This window comes from Homo sapiens, chromosome 9 (assembly GCF_000001405.40).
Source record: "Homo sapiens chromosome 9, GRCh38.p14 Primary Assembly".
Lineage (NCBI taxonomy): Eukaryota > Metazoa > Chordata > Mammalia > Primates > Hominidae > Homo > Homo sapiens.
The window spans coordinates 87,549,294-87,569,788 of record NC_000009.12 but is presented as its reverse complement, the minus strand read 5'-3'; the positions used below and the strand labels follow the sequence as shown (position 1 = coordinate 87,569,788).

The 20,495-nt window shown below is 46.4% G+C and overlaps 1 protein-coding gene and 1 long non-coding RNA gene across 9 annotated transcripts in view, besides 6 other annotated features; both read right to left on the bottom strand.

Moving 5' to 3' along the window:
* DAPK1 (death associated protein kinase 1) overlaps nucleotides 1-20,495 on the bottom strand; it is a 211,407-nt gene that overhangs the window by 138,846 nt on the left and 52,066 nt on the right. The gene's annotated exons all lie outside the window — the stretch shown is intronic.
* Nucleotides 1,432-1,601: an enhancer, noted in NCBI's record as "experimental_108408 CRE fragment used in MPRA reporter constructs". NCBI's record gives its function as "activates a minimal promoter by MPRAs in K562 erythroleukemia cells, with activity observed for the introgressed 9:90183188 variant allele {active_cell/tissue: K562}" and the evidence as "EXISTENCE:reporter gene assay evidence [ECO:0000049][PMID:34662402]".
* Nucleotides 5,500-5,999: an enhancer, noted in NCBI's record as "H3K4me1 hESC enhancer chr9:90178705-90179204 (GRCh37/hg19 assembly coordinates)". NCBI's record gives its function as "activates a minimal SCP1, AML or CMV promoter by ChIP-STARR-seq in naive H9 embryonic stem cells {active_cell/tissue: H9 hESC(naive)}" and the evidence as "EXISTENCE:reporter gene assay evidence [ECO:0000049][PMID:30033119]".
* Nucleotides 7,639-7,808: an enhancer, noted in NCBI's record as "experimental_108402 CRE fragment used in MPRA reporter constructs". NCBI's record gives its function as "activates a minimal promoter by MPRAs in K562 erythroleukemia cells, with activity observed for the non-introgressed 9:90176981 or rs74884476 variant allele {active_cell/tissue: K562}" and the evidence as "EXISTENCE:reporter gene assay evidence [ECO:0000049][PMID:34662402]".
* Nucleotide 7,723: a transcriptional cis regulatory region, noted in NCBI's record as "Neanderthal adaptively introgressed variant 9:90176981 (GRCh37/hg19 assembly coordinates) or rs74884476 in the experimental_108402 CRE". NCBI's record gives its function as "modulates activity of the experimental_108402 enhancer by MPRAs in K562 erythroleukemia cells {active_cell/tissue: K562}" and the evidence as "EXISTENCE:reporter gene assay evidence [ECO:0000049][PMID:34662402]".
* Nucleotides 9,861-10,030: an enhancer, noted in NCBI's record as "experimental_108397 CRE fragment used in MPRA reporter constructs". NCBI's record gives its function as "activates a minimal promoter by MPRAs in K562 erythroleukemia cells, with activity observed for both the introgressed and non-introgressed 9:90174759 variant alleles {active_cell/tissue: K562}" and the evidence as "EXISTENCE:reporter gene assay evidence [ECO:0000049][PMID:34662402]".
* Nucleotides 13,786-13,955: an enhancer, noted in NCBI's record as "experimental_108388 CRE fragment used in MPRA reporter constructs". NCBI's record gives its function as "activates a minimal promoter by MPRAs in K562 erythroleukemia cells, with activity observed for both the introgressed and non-introgressed 9:90170834 variant alleles {active_cell/tissue: K562}" and the evidence as "EXISTENCE:reporter gene assay evidence [ECO:0000049][PMID:34662402]".
* Nucleotides 15,330-16,335, bottom strand: DAPK1-IT1 (DAPK1 intronic transcript 1). Its single transcript, NR_146781.1, has 2 exons — nucleotides 16,199-16,335; nucleotides 15,330-15,894 (listed from the first exon to the last, which is right to left on the bottom strand). It is a non-coding gene; the product is annotated as a DAPK1 intronic transcript 1 (long non-coding RNA).

The window sequence follows — 20,495 nt, the reverse complement described above, 5'->3', positions numbered from 1 at the left end:
TCTATAAACCACCCTTCCAGCCAAGAAACTTAACACAAGATTAATGGACTGGAAGACCTCTCGTAGGGAAAGCCTGGGTTTAACCAAAAGGCACTGCTACACACCCGGATGCACCCGCATTGACACTGACAGGATCCAGTTCTGCACCCACTTCCTTTGAAAAACATGGCCTATCAGCTTGAATTCTCCAGCAGTGAGAACTTAGGTAATCACACGTTTTGAGCCTAAACTGACATCCATTTCAAAAGATCGATTTTCCATCCAACTGCTTGTCAAAAGTAGGACACTAAAGTATTTATATGTATTAATTGCAAATTGAAATAACCTATCTGCGTATTTCTATATGGGCACCTGCGATGAAGCACATAAGTCAATGATCACCTGAGTCTCGCTGGAGGTAGAGCTTTGAAAAATACAGGTTCCTGGGCTCCCCCGTGAACTCTGGATTCAGTCCATGGGGCAAAGCCCAGCAACCTGCATTTTAAAGAGCTCCTGGGTGCTTCTGATGCACAGTGAACTCTAAAACTCACAGACTGGAGTAGTAATTCTCAACCATCGTCAGTGGGGGAGGGGAGCTGTTGAAAGTCCAGATGCCCTCACCAGACTCCACACCAATTAAGTCCTAATCTCTGAGGCTGAGCCCAAGTACAGGCAGTGTTTAAAGTTCAGAGGGATTCCCCAACCAGCCAAGGCTGAGAACCACTGAGGTTAATGCAAAGGGATGCTACTTATTAAAAAAACACACGTGACCTGGAGAATTTCCTCTATCAAGAGAATCTGCCTCGCCCCACACCTCCAGTATTTTTTAATCACTCCTACTAAGTTAGCTGGATTCTGTATTCCTCTAAAATTCCTTTCTCAGTATAAAGTCTGCTCATCACATCAGACCACCACACATCTGAGGACAAGAAATGAGTTCTTTACTGTGGAGAGCTCCCCTTTCCCACCCAGGGAGTAAATGATCAAGGCCTGCAATTTGGAAGTGGACCAGTTTTGCAACAGCCCCAACACTATATGGCTCAGAGACCCATTACCCACTCTGCAAGGATTTTTAGAAAATGATTTGTAATAACTTGGGTGCATCACACAAGGTACATGTGACAGCCTTCCCCTTCCATATCCTAGTGGGTTGTCACCTTGTGCAGAGAGGACGGAGGAGGCACGGTCAGGCTGCAAGGTGACGCCACCCACACTGCATCCCACCTTCCCACTCTCTTTAGCCAACATTCCTTGAAGCTGGGGGACCCAGAGCAGGCACAAGAAGATGACTCCATGAAAAAACATCTCCCCCACAGAATGCATTAATTAGAAGCTAAATTGCTTCAACAAAACTCTTTTCAAATGCAAGTACCATCAAAAGAAGCCTATTCACCAAGGAGTGTTGCTTTAATCCACTGATCACAACTGGAGTGTTGTGTGGGATGGTGTCTGTTTGATCCAGAGCAATGGGCACAGTGTTTTGAAAAGAACTGAATCCACTGTCAATATTTTAAAACTCTGATTCCCAGCAATGCATGAAGACTTGGAAGAGCTGGCAGCGTTGGCCCACGGCCTGCAGGCAGTCAGCGCCCAATGCATAGCGACTGCCCCTTCAGATGGCCCCGTGCGCTCCAGCTGGACACAGGCCCGCAGCTCCCCGGTGCCTTATGCCTGGGTGGCTTCACTCCTCCTCACTGCTGTCTGCAGAGCCAACTCTTCTTTCATCAGTAACTCACCCTAAAGGGGCAGAGCTGGTGACAGCTTTGTAATCACAGTTTTGGTCTTCTACTCATTTAGCCATGAGACCTTGGACCGTCTTCTTGGAGCCTTAGTTTCCTTAGCATTACCATTTCAACTGAATAGTGGCAGCCTTTTTGGGGTGTCTATAAATATTAAAAGAAACTGAAAGTGAACACGAAAGCATTTGGAAATGATGGAGCAGTATGCCCATGGAAACGATCGCTAGCCAATCCATTCAACACAGCAACTCAGAACCCTTGAGTCATGCTTGGGAGGGACGCCATGGAGGGAGGTCCGGTGGGGTGGGGCTCACAGACTCATTCGGAGGCAATCTGAGGAATCCAGGTGGTAGCCCTATGAGTGCAACAACTCCATCTCCAGCACTGAGAAAAGCTTAATCCTAACAAGGGCTCCTACCATGGCAAGCGTGCCAGTGGAAACCAAGAGGCTATAGGTTCTTGAATTCAAATGAAGAGGCTACAAAAAGCATCCTCACAACCGAGCCTAATTCCCTGGCTACTTCCAGTCTGACCCCGCAACTCCAATTGTGAGCGGGGTCTACTGATCCACACCTGGTCTTTCTCTAACAGGAAGAAACACAGGAGGATGGAAAGACATCGAGGAAGGGTGAAGACAGTCACTTATTTCTTCCCCACGCCCCATTCCCTTCCCTACCCCCATTCCCCCACAGCCTGTATCTCCTCTCCCTATATTATCAGTTAAGTAGGATATTTGCATTTTGGCAGGATTTCCCTTTTCCAGGGCCTATCAGCTGAGTCGAGGAGACAGCAGATGGCCTACTACACAGCTCATTTGAGTACATATTCGAGACAATAATCAGCTACAGATTGACTTGGCACCAGCCACCACGGGAGGAGAGGCCAAGCATTTCTAAAGTCCACCAGGTTCCCATGACTTTGCCTTCACTTGCTGTGCCAACAGAAAGAGAATATTTTAATCTCACAATAATTTGTTTTGGAAGGAACTCTAGATTTCATGAGCAGTCCATCTATATCTTCAGATTAACTGCCAACGTGAATTCTGGGGAGCTTCTCTCTGCATTAGCAACCCTTCATTAATGAGCTTTCTTGCTATTTTTCTTTGCAACCAGGCACCCGAATGTATAGTTATCAGTTCATGCTCTTTCCATAGTGATTGCAAGGAGGGACCTGCCAAAACCCCCTGTATGCTGTGATAAAATTTCTGTTTCATCAGTGCAATGATGTGCTCAGACAAAGAAACACGGTTGGCCTGAGATGACCAGCTTGTTAGTGTTTGCTGCTTTCCTTTCATCCTTCCAAGAGTCCAACCAACGTGTCCAACCCATCCTTGTTCTTCTCATTCCGAACATCAGTCAGTCTACAATTTTGCTTCATTTTGTTTTTATATTTAGTATTTGTCACAATCAGCCAGGTTTGGTCTAGGCTAGTTCTGTAGCCATCACTACTTACAAAATTGATTCTCCTCACCTTATTTTTGGTAGATCCTTTAAATAACCTGAGCTTACTTATTTAGAAAATTTCCTTACCAATAACTATTTACCTCCCTCCACTTTTCCTCTTTCATTGGAGCATTTGGGGCATTGCTTACAGCCTCAATTTTTGGAGGCCCTACTTTGTTGAGTCATATCATCTTGGAGATATATAGATTCTACTTTCCTAAAGAACAAGAATGGCTTAATAGTTGACTACCAACTCTATAATGACATAGCTGAGATGCAGTTCCAAGAACTCTTAATAGAATGCTGAGGGCCGGGTACAGTGGCTCACACCTGTAATCCCAGCACTTTGGGAGGCCGAGGCGGGTGGATCACAAGGTCAGGAGATCGAGATTATCCTGGCTAACATGGTGAAACCCCATCTCTACTAAAAATACAAAAAAATTAGCCGGGCATGGTGGCGGGCGACTGTAGTCCCAGCTACTTGGGAGGCTGAGGCAGGAGAATGGCGTGAACCTGGGAGGCGGAGCTTGCAGTGAGCCAAGATCGTGCCACTGCACTCCAGCCTGGGCCACAGAGCAAGACTCCAACTCAAAAAAAAAAAAAAAAAAGAATGCTGAGACAGAGAGACAAAAGGTTCAAATCTCAGCACTGCCACTAAATGCTGTGTGACCTCAGGCAAGATGCTTAACTTCTCTGGGTCTCAGTTTCATCACTGGCAAAATAAAGGGAATAATGCCTACCTCTCAGGGTTCTTGGAAGAATGAAATGAGATAATACATGTAAAGAGCTTAGCACAGTGCCTGCCATATGGTAAAGATAAATGTTCGTGTACAACTAGGAGTAGCGAGTAGCAATAATAAAAATGATAGTAGCAGTGGAAACAGGATGATAAAAAGAAAGAGTGAAAAACGGGGAAAAGAACAGTAAATTGAAAATGGTAGGTCTGGGTTCAAGCCCAAACCTCAGATTTCAAGAAGTCGGATTTGAGTTCCTCATCATTTTACTTCTCTTCTAGGCAGAAAGAACATCACAACATTCAGCCTTCTTTGGAGGTCCAGAAATTCAGAAGGTAAATTCCCTTCCATCTGTAACCTGAGTTAGTGCCATACTAGCCATTCTCCTATTAGCCTGCTGCAATGACCTGTAGTGAGGCACTTCACCTCTCCTGGCTTTACTTTCCCCAACCATAAAATAGGGGGCATTGGAAGACATCATCCCTCGAGCTCCTCTGCTTTTGATCCTGAGAGCTGCATCCTCAAGTCAGATTCTGCTCTGGACAGAGGATGGGGTTGTGATTCTTCAGCGTTTTGCTTCAACCCCTCAGAGAAGCTCCCAGAGGCAAACTTGTCTCCCTGAGTTCTGTCTCACGTTTTTCTTTCTCTACAGCCTCGACACTCGTTTTTCATGCTCTCAACTGTTTGCCCTCCAGGCTGCCAGGACCTCTGCAACATATCCTGGGAGTCACCAAGGAGCTGTGGTGGTGCTTTCTGGAGCATTCGTGACCTCGGGCCCTTTGAGCTTCTGTGTGAAAAGTCTTTCTGGGAATTTCCACAGCACACTGCCTGCCAGCATTCAGCAAATGTGGATAGGGTCTTCCTGGTTTTCACTGTGTTTTCCCAGACACAGTGAAACCCACTTGCCTTCAGCCAAAACCAATGAAGAAATGAAACCACAGGGCTATCAGCTCTTCCTCTTCAGAAATCCAAGAGTCTTTATTGCTTCTACCACATAAGAAAGTTGGAATCAGAATAGCCAGTGGCACTGGCTGTGGTTTGAATGTGTTCCCCAAGTTGATGTGTTAGAAATTTAATCCCCAATGCAACAGTGTTAAGAGGTGAGACCGTTAAGAGGTGATTAGATCATGACGGCTCTGCCTCATGAATGAATTAATGCAGTTATTGTGGGAGCTGGTTCCAGATTAAGAAGATGAGTTTACCTTGCTTCATCTCTCTCTCTCTCTTTCTTTTTCTCAATCTCTCTCTCTCCCTTCCTCCCTCCCTCCCTCTTGCTCCTTCCTCCTCTCTCTCTCTCTCTCCCCCTCCCTCCCTCCCCATCCCTCTTGCCTTCTGCCATGAAATAACACAGTAGGAAGGCCATAACCAGATGCTGGTGACATGGTCTTGGACCTCCCAGCCTCCAGCACCATATGCAAAATAAACTTCCATTGTTCATAAATTACCCATTCTCACGTATTCTGTTAGAGCAGGAAAAAGTGGACTAAGACAGAAACCCTCATTTCCCAGTTAACAAAAATGGGCCTTAAGTGGTGAGTCATTTGTCACACATGTCTCAGTGAATGGGACAGCCAGGACTGGTCAGCCATACCCCCTGACATCACATAGTAGTTATTCTCTATGCCTTGTCACCCAATAACCCACCAAGCATACTGTGTGCCAGGATCTGAGTCAGGGCCCAAGAGCCAGTAGAGAGAAAATAGACTCTTTTCCTACAGAGGTCAGCATCAGACTAAACTGTAAACAAATCAGCAGAGTGCAATGTAGAAAGTAAAGTGCCAGTAACAGAGATGTGTATGGAGGGCACCAGAGGGAATCCGGAGAAGCACCTGGGTTTTGAATATAGGAAAAAGAAGCTCCAAGGAGGAAAAGGGGAGACGGGCATCCTAAACTAAATAAAGAACATATCCAAAATGGCGCCAAAAACTATGCCATTGTGGCAAGAAGGTCTACGCGGCTGTCACAGAGGGCATGAGCAGGGAGTGGACACTGATCAACCATTGGGCACGAACACACCACTCCAACCTTAGGGGCCCAAATGGCAATCATTCACATGCTCACAACTCTGTGGGTTGCAACATGGGCTGGGCTCAGCTGGGCAGGTCATCTCCTCCTCCTGGTGCTGGCTAGGCTCAGCCACATGTCTGCAGTCTGAGAGGCGGTGGGGTGGGAGGTGCTGGCTGGTGGGCTGACAGCCTCACCTGAACATCTGGTGGTGTGTGCTGACTGATGGCTGGGCCTCTCACTTCACATGGCCTCTTATCCTCCAGGAGGCTTGACAGAGCATCTTTACATAAAAGCAAAGTGTCCCACAAGAGCAAGGTCTAACCTTGGACATCACACATGTCTCTCTGCAAGACTCTGCTGGGCAGAGCAAGCCACAAGGCCAGCCCCAATTCAGGGAATACGGGGAGTCAAGCCAAGATGCAACAGGGAGGCACAGTTCTCTGAGACCATGAACACTACAACCCATCCCAGAGTGGAAATAAATAGTGTTAGTGCAGGTGTTCACACTGTATCTTTCAAATGGGAGTGTGAACCACTTAAATTCAAAAGCATTCAAGGAGCTTAAAAATCATATTCATCTTTGTGCCCTCAATTGCTACTCCCATATTCTTCCTCATACAGTATGTGTTTAATAAATTTGTGTGGATTGGTTGACTAAATTCTGACAAATGCATGTACTTATAAACTTAGAAATTGGAGTTTACCAGGAAAGAATGCCGGAAGGTACAGTTAATAAAGAACAAAAAGTCTCTTTTGCTTACAAAATGCTTCCAGACAACAGAATAGAAACATGAGCATTTCACAAAGAGGGGCCCAAGATCTGCCCCTGAAATTCACCAGTACCAAATCTCTAGGCGGATCATCACCCTCCTTCCATTGTCCAACCTTCACTCCAAATCACATCATTTGTCATGAAGAAAGTAAAAAAGTTTAAGAGGTCAGCACTTGTTTGAGGTTCTATAAAAAAGCTGAGCAAGTCATCATGCCTGGGAAGAATCCTCTTTAAATCATTCCTTAAGTTTAATATAAAGCAAATTGTCTTTGCTCTGCAATAGCAGCAGACTTTTGCTTCAATCTGTCTTCCAAATTTGGGCACCTGACATGCTATTATTTGATGAATTACACTTGGCAAGGTTTATTTATTTCCTTCTGGACAGTGTGCTTTAAATTAAGCAAAACAGTATGTCAGGTGGTTACATGGACAATCTCAACTTCTTTCAGGTGTAAATAATGTAGAGCCTTTGAGATAGCAAATGACTCAATTCCTAATACTCTTTTCTATAAAAATATTATAGAATTCTCTATTTAAATAACTACTGTGGCAGTGACAGTCATCAAATATTTCAGGGTCCTCTCCTTTCAGCATGAGGTAGGAGGACACACCCATGCTTTCACATTGAGTGTGGCCATGTGACTTCTGGCCAATGAAAGTGGGCTCAACTCCTCCTGTTGGTTCCCGACGAAAGCCTCAAGACCCAGTCCTTAATTTGTGACAGCCTCTTCCTCACCAATGTGATTGCAACTTTCCACACAGTGGAGGCTTCATTACCTTCAGTCCTGGAGTTACGACACAGGAGGACAAGGCTCCAACTAACTCACGTTCGCTATTGGGGTTGTTTGTTACAGTGGCATGACTTTGCCCATCCTAACTCAGTATAACTATGATGAACATATAGCTCAACTGCTGTGTCTTCGTTCCATCACCTGAACCCCAAGAAGGTAAACACTGAAGACCACCAGGTAGATACAGAACTGCAGGAGGCCTGCCCTGCACAACCCCCTTCCCTCTCCCCATGAGAATCCCCACATTACTCAGGGCAGCGATGCATCTCTTCTCCATGCTCTGGGGTGGAGTGAGGGTCCCTGTGGCCCAGTCTGGATGATGAGAAGTGTGCAGAGCCCCTTGCAGGCAGCTCACAGGGATGCCCATTCAGGGGGCCAGTAAAGCTGGAGTGCACCCCCTTTTGCTTCCCTTCCCTTCTCCTTGCTTGAACCCTGGGCATGGTGGATGCAGCTCTGGTTGACACCCTAAGGAGGGGGGCAGAACCCAGGGAGCCTGGGTCTCCAATGGCACTGAGGAGCTGCCAGATAAGCACTGTCCACACACAGCCCCACTTCTGGATGAGAAGAAAATGAACCTTTAACTTAAGTAAACTGCTGTCTAAGGGGCTTCCATTTCTAGCACCCAAATGCAATGCCTATCAAACTTCCATGGAGCAGGGGAATCCCCCAGGGCAGGTCTGGGGAATTTCTTTATTCAATGGGAAGTTAATGACCCAGAGAAATAAAAAATCAATGAAAGGTTTCATTAGAATAGAAATTCACTCTGGCTAACATATTTGGTGTATTTTTTTTTTCTTTTGAGACGGAGTCTCGCTCTGTCGCCCAGGCTGGAGTGCAGTGGTGCCATCTCGGCTCACTGTAAGCTCCGCCTCCCGGGTTCACGCCATTCTCCTGCCTCAGCCTCCCGAGTAGCTGGGACCACAGGCGCCCGCCACAACGCCCGGCTAATTTTTTGTATTTTTAGGAGAGACGAGGTTTCACCGTGTTAGCCAGGCTGGTCTCGATCTCCTGACCTCGTGATCCGCCCGCCTTGGCCTCCCAAAGTGCTGGGATTACAAGCGTGAGCCACTACGCCCGGCCACATATTTGGTGTATTTTGTAGCAATGATTGGGGAGGGCATAAAGGCTCAACTCTTGCTGCCCAAAAGATAGGAAATAAGCACAAACGGCTCCTCATCTAATATATTATTGGTTCCGCTATTTTAATTTCATATTTTATTTTGGGGAAAATGAAGGGAAAGGACAAAAAAGTAAAAGACAAGGGCACTCAAATGTCCACTGATGGATGAATGACTACATGACATGAGATTTATACACATAATGGAATAGAATGCAGCCTTTAAAAAGGAAGCACATCCTAGCCAGGCGCGGTGGCTCACACTGGTAATCCCAACACTTTGTGAGGCCGAGGTGGGTGGATCACCTGAGGTCAGGAGTTCAAGACCAGCCTGGCCAACACGGTGAAACTCCGTCTCTACTAAAAATACAAAAGTTAGCCGGGCGTGGTGGTGGGTGCCTATAATCTTAGCTACTCGGGAGGCTGAGGTAGGAGAATTGCTTGATCCTATAAGGTGGAGGTTACAGTGAGTGGAGATCATGCCACTGCACTCCAGCCTGGGTGACAGAGCAAGACTGTCTCAAAAAAAAAAAAAAAAAAGTACGTTCTGACACATGCCTCAACGTGGATGAACCTCAAGGACATCATGCTAAGTGAAATAAGCAGGTCACAAAAGCACAAATATTGTGTGATTCTACTCATGTGAGGTATCTAAAGTAGTCCAAATCACAGAAACAGAAAGTAGACTCATATCTGCCAAGGGGTAGGGGAAGGGGGAGTTTGTGTTTAGTAGGCACGAAATTTCAGTTTTGCAAGATGAGAAAGTTCTGGGGAAGTGTCACGCAACAATGTGATATAGCTGACACAACTCAGTTGCACGCTTTAAAATGTTTAAATGGTAAATGTAATGTTATGTGATTGTAACCACATATTAAAATAAACTTTCAAATAAATTTTAAAGTTCCAAGGGCAGGCTGGGCATGGTGACTCACACCTGTAATCTCAGTACTTTGGGAGGCCAAGGCAGGCAGATCACTTGAGGTCAGGAATTCTAGACCACCCTGGTCAACATGGCGAAACCCCGTCTCTACTAAAAAAAAAATACAAAAATTAGCCAGGCGTGGTGGCATGCACCTGTAATCTCAGCTACTAGGGAGGCTGAGGCAGGAGAATAGCTTGAACCCGGGAGGAGGAGGTTGCAGTGAGCCAAGATCGAGCCTGGGCGACAGAGCAAGACTCCGTCTCAAAAAAAAACAAAAAAAGAAAAAAGGAAAGAAAAAGATTCAAGGGCAGAGGAGGGAAGAGGAGAGAGGAGACTTCATAAACCAAGGTGGGGAGACAAAAGAAGCGGATGGAGGCAGAGGAAGGGCAAGATAGGGGGCATGAAGAATGGGGGCCTTTCTGAGGAGTGGGCACACGAGTCTGGTGACACTGGGTCACTCACTGGGGCAGCAGGCATCAAAGGTCCACACCAGAGTCCTTTCCAACACCCGGGACTATTGTAGACATTCGCCTGCTCACTGGTCTCAGTTCAAAAAGAACCATGCAGCAATTCTTGGAGTTCAGACATTCTCACAGCCTGAGCTGCTTAGTACCTAGGAGGGGCTCAGCAAAGATCTTTCAAATCAATCAATGATCAAACAGTGCTAATCAAGTCCAAGGCGTCCTACATCCTGCTTTTGAGAGCGTCCTGGGAGGGCCCTCAGCTGCAGGGAAAGTCCACCACAGTAGCTACTAGTCACGGTGCTAGTGAAATTTAACTAAAATTAAAGAATATTAAAAATTTACCTTTTTGGAAACACTAGTCCCATTTCACATGCTCAACAGTCACATGTGGCTAGATGTTACCACACTGGGCGGCACAGAACATTCCCATAATTGCAGAAAGGTCTATGCACAGCATTGGTGTAGATGCTACCCTACCCTACACTACCCTGCCCTGCCCTACCCTACCCTAGCCTAGCCTACCCTAGCCTACCCTAGCCTATCCTGTAATAAAAAGAAGCATACCTGGGGCATTAGAAACTCTAGAGTACTAGAGATGACACATTACCTCTACCTTAATTTCTTCATTTGTAAAACAAGGATAATATTTCATCTAACTTATAGGGTTAAGTAGATTAAATTAGATAATACACGTCAAGCACAAAATCCCCGTCTCAGAGTACAGGCTCTACGAATGCCAACTGTCATTTTGTTGGGGAGAAGGAGGAGATAGCTGGTGCATGCATGTGCACACACATGCACCTGTGATTTCTTACAGAGAGAGACCATGACTTACCCTCCCCTCCCCCAGAGTGGGAACAGTTTTCAACAAGTGACTGGAATGGGTGGTACCTCCCTGATGCCCCACTGGGTAGAGGCCCTGTGGGCAGGTTCCAGGCAGTCTGGTTTCTCCTTTCCCACCTGCCTAACAGGAGTCCGCCCACATGGAGCATGGGAATCATGCTTTCTGCACGTGGGAGCCCAAATGGGTAGATGCAGCTCACAGAGCAGGCTCTAACTGAGCCCCCATGTGGCTATAGCAGGCTGTCCAAGGAATCCAATGAAGCAATGAAGGGGTCTGCAGACAGGAACTACCAAGTCAACAAAAACTCCCTCCATCACAGCCCTTCCCTGCAATGACAAGTCACAAACAGCAGAAACCAAGAGACCAGCTAGTATCGAGGAATTGTTCGTTTTCGTCGAAAGGGACGTTGGTGTGCAATGACCACCTTACAGCTTGTGTATCTGTACTCACACGGCTGTGTGTGTGTGCATATGTGTACTTATGTATGTGGAGCATATTATCAAGTGATTCTGAGATCCTGTATTCATGGAAGATTTTTAGTTGCAAAGCTTATTCGACTAGATCCCTTCATTCTTTTTCATCTTGCTTTATTTATTCTGTCCCGTTGATCTGTGGGTATATCCTCAGGGGTGCAATGCAGTCCAGTGGCCTGCTCTTGACAAAAGAGCATGATCCATTTTGGTAAATAGCTCCTGGGATGCTTCAGGGAGAGGTGCTGACAGGCCAAGATGCATACCCACTGTGCAGTAACATGTGAGTCCCTAAGAGAGTCCATGACCACCATGTGAAACCAGACAGACCACAAGCTTCTGGCAGCTCTCAAGGGGCTGGCAAGATGACAGGACTGTGACAAGCTAACTGCCCATTACCACACTGGGCAGGACCTCACAATGCTGCTGATCAAAATTAAAATGAAAGATTTATTATGGCTGAGCAAGTAAAAGAAGGAAAACATCCAAAAGATTCCAAACTGACTTATCCAACAAGAGACACGCCTGGCTAAAGGATTCGGTTTTTGTTTTTTGTTTGTTTGTCTTCAGACGGAGTCTCACTCTGTCACCCAGGCTGGAGTGCAATGTCATCATCTCAGCTCACTGCAACCTCCGCCTCCCAGGTTCAGGTGATTCTCAAGCCTCAGCCTCTCAAGTAGCTGGGACTACAGGTGCATGCCACCACACCGAGCTAATTTATGTAATTTTAGTAAAGACGAGGTTTCACCATGTTGGCCAGGCTGTTCTCGAACTCCTGACCTCAAGTGATCCACCCACCTTGGCCTCCCAAAGTGCTGTGATTATAAGCATAAGCTACCGCGCCCTGCCAAGGATTAGGTATTTTTTAAAATCCAACACATTTTTCTTTTAATGGATCACTTCTCAATGAGTAATGTTTTAACAGGAGGGGGGTTCTGTAAGAGATAGAAAAAAAATCTAATGGCTTTGTCCCAAGATCATTTGTCAATAAAAGCTACTGACCATTTAATATTATTTTAAATTCATAATTCCTTAATCGGCATGGTTTTAGAGCTCACAAAAGATGTTTTGAATCACAGGAAGAAAGCTGTATTTTCTTCATGAGATTAATAATCTAATTTGGAAGGACGAGGAAGGCAGTGGGTGAAACGTAGAAAGAACACGACAGGAAGGTACAGGACAAAGGGTCTCCCCTGACAGGGCCATGGTGGGAAATGAAGATGTGGGTTTCCAGACTCTTCTCAGATGGATCTGAGCATTCCTCATGGGGCTGCCTGGATGGATGTGTGGCTGCCAGGTAACACTTGCTTTGAACAAAGGTTCTGAGCCCAGAGGTTTGAAAACCACTGGCCTTACAATGCCAGACACTGAGCTTCGAGGATGTTGAGGAAGAGTTGCTCCTCCCTTCCCGCAACACCGCCAAGAGGGAAGGGTGAGGGGAAGGGCCAGGCTGCCTTCCTCTTTTCTGTTCTTTATGAGATATGAATCCCTAGAGGCCAAGGGGAAAGCCGAAGGTCAACTGCCCACCTCCGCCAAGGTTCCTGATAACACATCTCAGAGAAGCTCCTCTCCCACCCACAACTGCAGGACTGGCTCTTCAAGGAACACGCCCAAGGCAGCCCAGGAGGCCTGGCCTGCAAAGGCTCTGCCCAGCAGGCACAACTCATGTCTATTCTCACTCCCTACTAGAAACAAGGACCAAGAAAAGCAATTCCAAACCTGAGGAGAGCATTCCTTCTCCTGAGGGTATGGGCTGAGGAGCCACACAGGCCTCGATATGTTCTCCAGCGAGCTCCTGGAGCGAGAAGTACCACAGCCTTGTACCATGATCACAAGTGAAAGACCTCACCTTTCAGAGACCAAACCCTGCTCTGTGAAAGGGTAGCTGAGGCTACTCCACAGAGTTTCAGCAGGAGACCGCCATCCTCCCCATGCTCTGCCAATCCCCCGCACTCCTCCTGACATTAGCATGATGGGGCCAGGCTGTAGCATTCACTGATGTGGCCAGAATACTAACCCATGCATGGCTTCCCATGACACTGAATAAATCCATGATTCAAAGACAGCAAAAGGAAGCCCCTTTGCCCGTGACGGGCAGCATGCACAGTGGGTACAGGTACACACACGTGGGCACCCTCCCCAGCTCTGTGAGCTTTGACAAAGGAAGCTTGGGCAAAGTACCTTGCCTCTCTGCACCTGTTTCCTCCTCCATAAAATCAACATAATACTTGTACCAACCTCACAGCGCTGTTGTGAAGATTAAATGAGGTAACACAGGAAAAAGCACTTAGAACAATGCCAGCCCACACAGGTGCTGGGCTGCATAAGTCATTATTAACTACATGTCCACCCAAAATGTCCTTCTATTTTTGGGTCCTGCATCACTGATGAGTTTCGGTGACGGAGATTAGAATACAAAAAAACAGTTCTTCATATGCCCCGGGCAGTAATTACCATGGTGGCATTTACTCTTGCTTCTTCCTTCATAATACCTCATTTTCTCATTCGTCTTTTTAGGAATAAAACAGAAGCTACTGACAACACGTACTAGTGACTACTTCCATTCCTCTAAATAATAATTTTCCCATGCAATTGTTTAATCATATTGATATGGAACTCGCCTAGCTTTTAGTTAGCCGGTAATTTGTTAACAGTGTGCTCTTGCATGACTGCATATTTGTTCTTAACGATAAGCTTTAAAGTGCTTCTGGCTGCAGTGGCTTACGCCTGTAATCCCAGCACTTTGGGAGGCCAAGGCAGGCAGATCACCTGAGGTCGGGAGTTCGAGACCAGCCTGACCAACATGGAGAAACCCTGTCTCTACTAAAAATACAAAATTAGCTGGGCGTGGTGGCGCATGCCTGTAATCCCAGCTACTCGGGAGGCTGAGGCAGGAAAATTGCTTGAACCCGGGAGGCAGAGGTTGCAGTGAGCCGAGATCACACCATTGCACTCCAGCCTGGGTAACAAGAGCGAAACTCCATCTCAAAAAAAAAAAAAATAACTAAATAAAATAAAGTGCTTCATGATAAATAAATTTCACTTTGTTTTTTCTGTTGTTGTTTGTGTTACTAATACTTCTTGAGGAAGTATATCAGATAGCCCCAGGGTGTCATTCTCATCTAGTCCTTGTGTCTGTGACAGAGAAGGAAAAGAGAGAAGGCAAAAGGGAGGGCAGATATGTTGCTTAAGAGGTCAAGACAAGGCTTAGCTGGGACCTAATTGTCTGACTTAATGTCTGCTTAAGAACGTGCTGTATTATGGAAATGCCCTAACGGGACAGCTAGATCAGGAACTGGGTTTTCTGGGACCATGAGGTTTAGAAATAAGGAACTTCCTTTGCTGACAAAAAGGGATGTTATGTAAACCCCCAAGTCCTTAAGTCATAATACTGAGGCTGCCCTTGAGGGCAGGGTGATGAGACCCTGGTGCACACCCACACAGCTTTCCCCACTTCTTTGCTCAGGACTCTTCAGAGGTCCCTGCAGGGTTCCTCCATGGTTCTAGAAAGTTCCTTGGCACTAAGAACCCTCTCCAGAGATCAAGGGGCCTCTACAACTGATACCATCATTAGATTCTCACTGTAGATTGTGGCAGAGAACTTGCCACCAGAAGGGCTTCCCTTTAATGACCTCCAGGAGAACTGGCTGAAGCCAAGGGCAGAAGCCCTGACACTCTCAGACCTCCGGTGGGGGTGGGGGAAATGGCTACACGGCCTGGGTGGGAGACAGCATCAGCTTCCTCCCTCCCGCCAGAGCAGTCAGGCCGAGGCCAGCTGATGGCACTTTGCTCATTTGGGTCCAGGTTGCCATGGAGATCAGCGATCTCCCTAGATGCCTCCTGACTATAGGAGCAACTAGCGCATTACTGCCGAGGGATCTACATGAGCGCCCTAAGTCCTACTGTGGAGAGGGCCTTCCTGTGGAAGGCTCCTAAGGGTGGTCCCATCCATCTTCTGGCTTGAGTCAAAGACAGAGTTCCAGCATAGTCACTGTTATGTCCGGAGGTAAAAATTCTTTAAACTGAATTTCCTAGATGAAGTAAAGACTTTTTTTTTTTTTAGTATTACATTTTATTTTTACTGCTTCTTCCAGTATTGCACAATCCCATAATTATTGCTATTCAGCTAAAAACATGCCTCGAGGCATTGCAGAAGATGAGAATAATAATTTTAAAAACTGGAGTCAGCAACACGAACTCTTGAAAGCACTAGTATAAAAGCATTCAAGAAATAACTTCCTCTGGCTTCCTTGGACTTGTTTAAGAGATTACTAATGGCAAAATCAAGTGGAAATTTTAATGGATCAGTAGGTCTTTATGAACTATAAGTTCCCCAGATGAAAATCAAAATGCTGCTCGTGATGTATGCCTTAGAACAGGATTGCTGACCTAAGGTCTGGGAACCTGCTAAGGCTGTGGGCTTATGCACTGAGTATTTGAGAGCATTTTTCTGAAAAGGGGAGCACATAGCTCTCAACTACTCTCCAAGGGGGTCCCCCAAATGTTAAATTTAGAGTTTGCTTAGTTGACAGCAGAGTTTCCCGATCGGGTTCCCTTTTGTTGTTCTAGTGAACAGGTAAAAACTCAGTGAAAGGCAGACTGGGAATGTTCTCCTGCCTCCCTTTCTGCCCACAAGCCACATGTCTCATCCTTTTTCTTCCGCTTCCTCTCCTTATTGCCCTCATCTGTGGAATATTGAAAATAAATATTGAGGCCGGGCATGGTGGCTCACGCCTGTAATCCCAGCACTTTGGGAGGCCCAGGCGGGCGGATCACTTGATGTCAGGAGGTCGAGACCAGCCTGGCTAACAGGGCAAAACCCCGTCTCTATTAAAAATACAAAAATTAGCCGGGCATGGTGGCACACACCTGTGATCCCAGCTACTCGGGAGGCTGAGGCAGGAGAATCACTTAAACCTGGGAGGTGGAGGTTGCAGTGAGCCGAGATCGCACCACTGCACACCCGCCTGGGCAACAGACCGAGACTCCATCTCAAAAAAAAAAAAAAAAAGAAAAGAAAAGAAAAAGAAAATAAATATTGAGCACCCTAAGCACCAGACATAGTGCTCAGGGCTTGGGATACAGGGACAAACAAGACACAGCCCATGTCCTTAAGGAGCGGAGAATCGGATAAAAGAAAAGATCCCATGAATGGTTAACTGAATGCACATATTAATTATCAAGAAGCATATGCACAGGATGATGGCAAAGGCAGAAAGACTGCTGTGTAGATACCAAATATTTCCAATCACCCAACCCCCCCCACATGACAGACACAAGTCAAGGAAAAAAATACTCAGGTCTGATGAGTGAGATTTTGCTTGGTTTACTGCCTAGCTGGCCAGCTGGAACTTAAATATCAACAATATCAGGACCAGAACAATGTGTCTTCTCAAAAGTAGATTTAAATTCAGAGACAGAAAGTAGAAAGGTAATTGCCAGGGGCTAGGAGGAGAAGGAAATGTAGTTAGTATTTAATGGATACACAGTTTCAGCTTGGGATGACGAAAAAGTTCTGGAGATAAACGTTAGTGAGGGCTGCAACACAACGTGAATGTTCTTACTGCCACTGAACTGTGCACTTAAAAATGGTTCAAATGGTAAATATAGCCAGGCTCAATGGCTCACACCTGTAATCCTGACACTTCGGGAAGCTGTGTGGGAGAATCGCTTGAGGCCTGGAGTTCTAGAACAGCCTGAGCAACGCAGAGACCCCATCTCTACTAGAAATCTTAAAAAAAAAAAAAAATTAACGGGGTACAGTGGGGCATGTCTATAGTCCTAGCTACTTGGGAGGCTGAGGCAGGAGGATCACCTAAGCCCAGAAGCTGGAGGTTGCAGTGAGCTATGATTGTACCACTGCACACCAGCCTGGGTGACAGAGCAAGACCTTGTCTCCAAAAAAAAAGAGGTACATTTTAAAGCACGTGCATTATACAACAATAAAATTATTTTAATTGATTTTTTTTCTGTCTGTACTTGATAAAAAGAGATGCCACAACTGCCTATGTCTGCCCAGGTGCTAGAGAAAATTAGTGTGTGGGCCACAAGTTTCACAGCTCTAATGTACATTAGGTTCTTCCATATTTTCCAGAAAGTGGTGCCCCGTCACTGTTCAAGCTGGCACACTCCTTCCAGCTGCAGATATCCCTCCTTCCAGCTGCAGATATCCCTCCCTTGTCCTCTTTAAGATGGGGTCAGCGGGGTTGGGACTGAAGTCCTAGGTACAGAAAGCCCTGGGCTGTAATGATCTAGGCAGACCAAGCCTCACACTCCCTCCTGAGGACTTCCTGCCAAGCAGTATCCCCTCCCTACTTGCTGGCCTTGCCAGGCTCTGGGCTCCCTACTGGCTCCTGGAAGCTGTGGGACCCCAGGCAGGGCCCTGCCTGGGCTGAGAGGCACAGTCTCATGTTTCCAACACCAGCAGCCTGAAAGGTGAGCCAGCCTCGCGAGGCCTGCTGGCTGGTTTAGAACTTGATCTTGGTTATCACAGGGACTCCTCACCCTCCAAGCCCCTCTGGCTTACTGGCAGCTGAGATTATTCTAGAGTGTAGTTGTTGATCTAGATTCCGGCTGCCCACGGAGGCATCTGAGACTCACATCTGCTGCAGGCTAGACTTTCACGTGTCTATCAGCAGCGCCCGCCCCTCAGAGATGACAGCACAGGGTGATGCTTATCTTCGGGTCTCTCCTCCTGGGCTCTACGGTGACTCTCTCCGGCTTGGTTACAGCTTCTCCATGTTGCTGTATCAGGACCTGCACTTCCCTGAGAGAGTTCATGGGCCCCTCACCTTCCCTTGAGGATGAAGGAGGATGTGGCCCTGGGCCAGACCCCAACTCCCACCATGGGCCCATAATGGGTCCCTGGATCCCTTCTCTCGCCCTTATCCTCAAAAGCTGCTGTCCTGTCCTTCATCCACTGTCACTACTGTCCTGGGAACAGGACCTTCTCCCCAACTCCCCACTTCCTTACTGGTCCAGGTGACCGGATCTCAGCCTTTAAGGACTTCATCACCAACCTCAAAGGGAAACCAACAGATTGGCTTAAAATCTAAATTAACAGGCTGCGCACGGTGACTCACGCCTGTAATCCCAGCACTTTGGGAGGCCAAGGTGGGTGGATCATAAGGTCAGGAGTTCGAGACCAGCCTGGCCAACATGGTGAAACCCCGTCTCTAGTAAAAATACAAAAATTAGCCAGGCGTGGTGGTGGGCGCCTGTAATCCCAGCTACTCAGGAGGCTGAGGCAGGAGAATCACTTGAACCCAGGAGGCAGAGGTTGCAGTGAGCCGAGATCGCACCACTGCACTCCAGCCTGGGCGACAGAGCGAGACTCCGCCTCAAAAAAAAAAAAAATTCAAATTAATAGATGTGATGATGTTGCCCAGTTTTAAGAAGCAGGATCTGTGGTTTGTAGCTACTGTCTCCACCAGACTGAAGCAGCACTGGGGAAGAGCCATCCCGGCTGCTGGCCAAGGTGGGGGGACCCAACAGCTTGGCCTTCTGCCTTCAGAGGACCATCCTTCCACATGTGTCCCCAGGTTAGCCCCCTCCCCGGGGTCAGGGTATGTATCCAAGAAAAATAAAAGCACACGTCCACAGAAACACTTGTGCAAAAATGTTCCTAGCAGCTTTATTCACGACAGCCAAAAACGGCACCCATCAACAAGCATGGCTTGGTACAGCTTGGCTTAGCTGTAGTCCATTTCTAGAATGGAGCACTACTCGGCAGTAACAGCAAACCACTGGTACATAAAACAACCCAGGTGCTGCTGTCATGGGTTGAATTATGACCCCCTCAAATTTGTATACTGATGTCCTAACCCCCAGTACCTTATTTGTAAGGTAGCTTTATTTGGAAATATGGTCATTGTAGATGTCATTAGTTAAGAAGGGTTCATCCTGCAGTAGGTTGCACTCCCAATTCAATATGATGGGTGTCCTTAGGAGGACCATAGGTCCTTAGGGGGAAATTTGGACATAGAAAAGCAGAATGCCATGTGCAGACTGGAATTATGCTGCCACAAGGCAAAGAACTTCCAGGAGCTAGCAGAGAAGCCTGGAACACATTCTAAATGACACCTTGATCTTGGACTTCCAGCTTCCCAAACTGTGAGGCAATAAATTTCTCTTGTTTGAACTACACAGTCTGTGGTATTTTGTTATAACAGCCCTAGCACACTAATGTGGCTGGCAACAGAAGTCTTGCACAAAATAATAAACACATTCTAGGATCTCATCCACATGAAGTTCTTGAACAGGTTAAACGAACCTATGGTGAAAAAATCAGAACACTGGTTTCCTTTGGAGGGATGGGGGTGGGAATGATTGAGAAGGGGCAAGAGAGAACTCTCTAGGGTGACGGTTAATGTTTTGTGATTATCCTGACAGGGGTTCATGTTACCCAGGGAATGCAATTGTCAAACCTCATCAAAGGACGTGCTTAGGACTTCTGCATTTCACTACATATAAACTTTACCCGACACAGAAAAAACCAGCAACAAGCACCGAGCTCTAGGAAATGACACGCATGACGAAGCCTTAAAAGGATGAGGTATACAGACACCTGCAACTTACTTTGAAATGCATAAAGTAATGAAGATGGCGTGACAGAGGGAAAGATAAAAAAAATGTTCATTGTGGATCTGGGTAACAGACAGATGGGTATTCATGATACTTTTTTCCCCCACTTTTCCATATATTTGAAATTTTTCATAACAAAATGTGGAAAAACATTAACACTGATCATGGTTTCTTTTGGTGCTCTGCTACGAGTTGTACAAGTGCATTGCTGAGGCTCTAGAAGGCACGTCATAAAAGCAATGTAAAAGGAGGGGCGAGGGGACATTATTTTGTGCTGAGATGTGTACTCTTTGTGATGAGAAGTGTTCTTCATTCTACATTCTTTGTAAAACTAATTTAAATTGTGTGAAATGCCTAATTAAAACAGAATAAGGTTTGGGTGATACTAAGAATTTTTTCGTCATTTCAGAGATAGTGAGGATAACCCATACCAACAAACTACATTAGAATGAAATCCCCAGCAATCTCATTACTATATAACCCCCCCATACAAATTGTTCTATTATAAAGATACACGTATGGGTATGTTCACTGCAGCACTATTCACAATAGCAAAGACATGGAATCAACCCAAATGCCCATCAATGATAGATTGGATAAAGAAAATGTGGTACATATACAACATGGAATA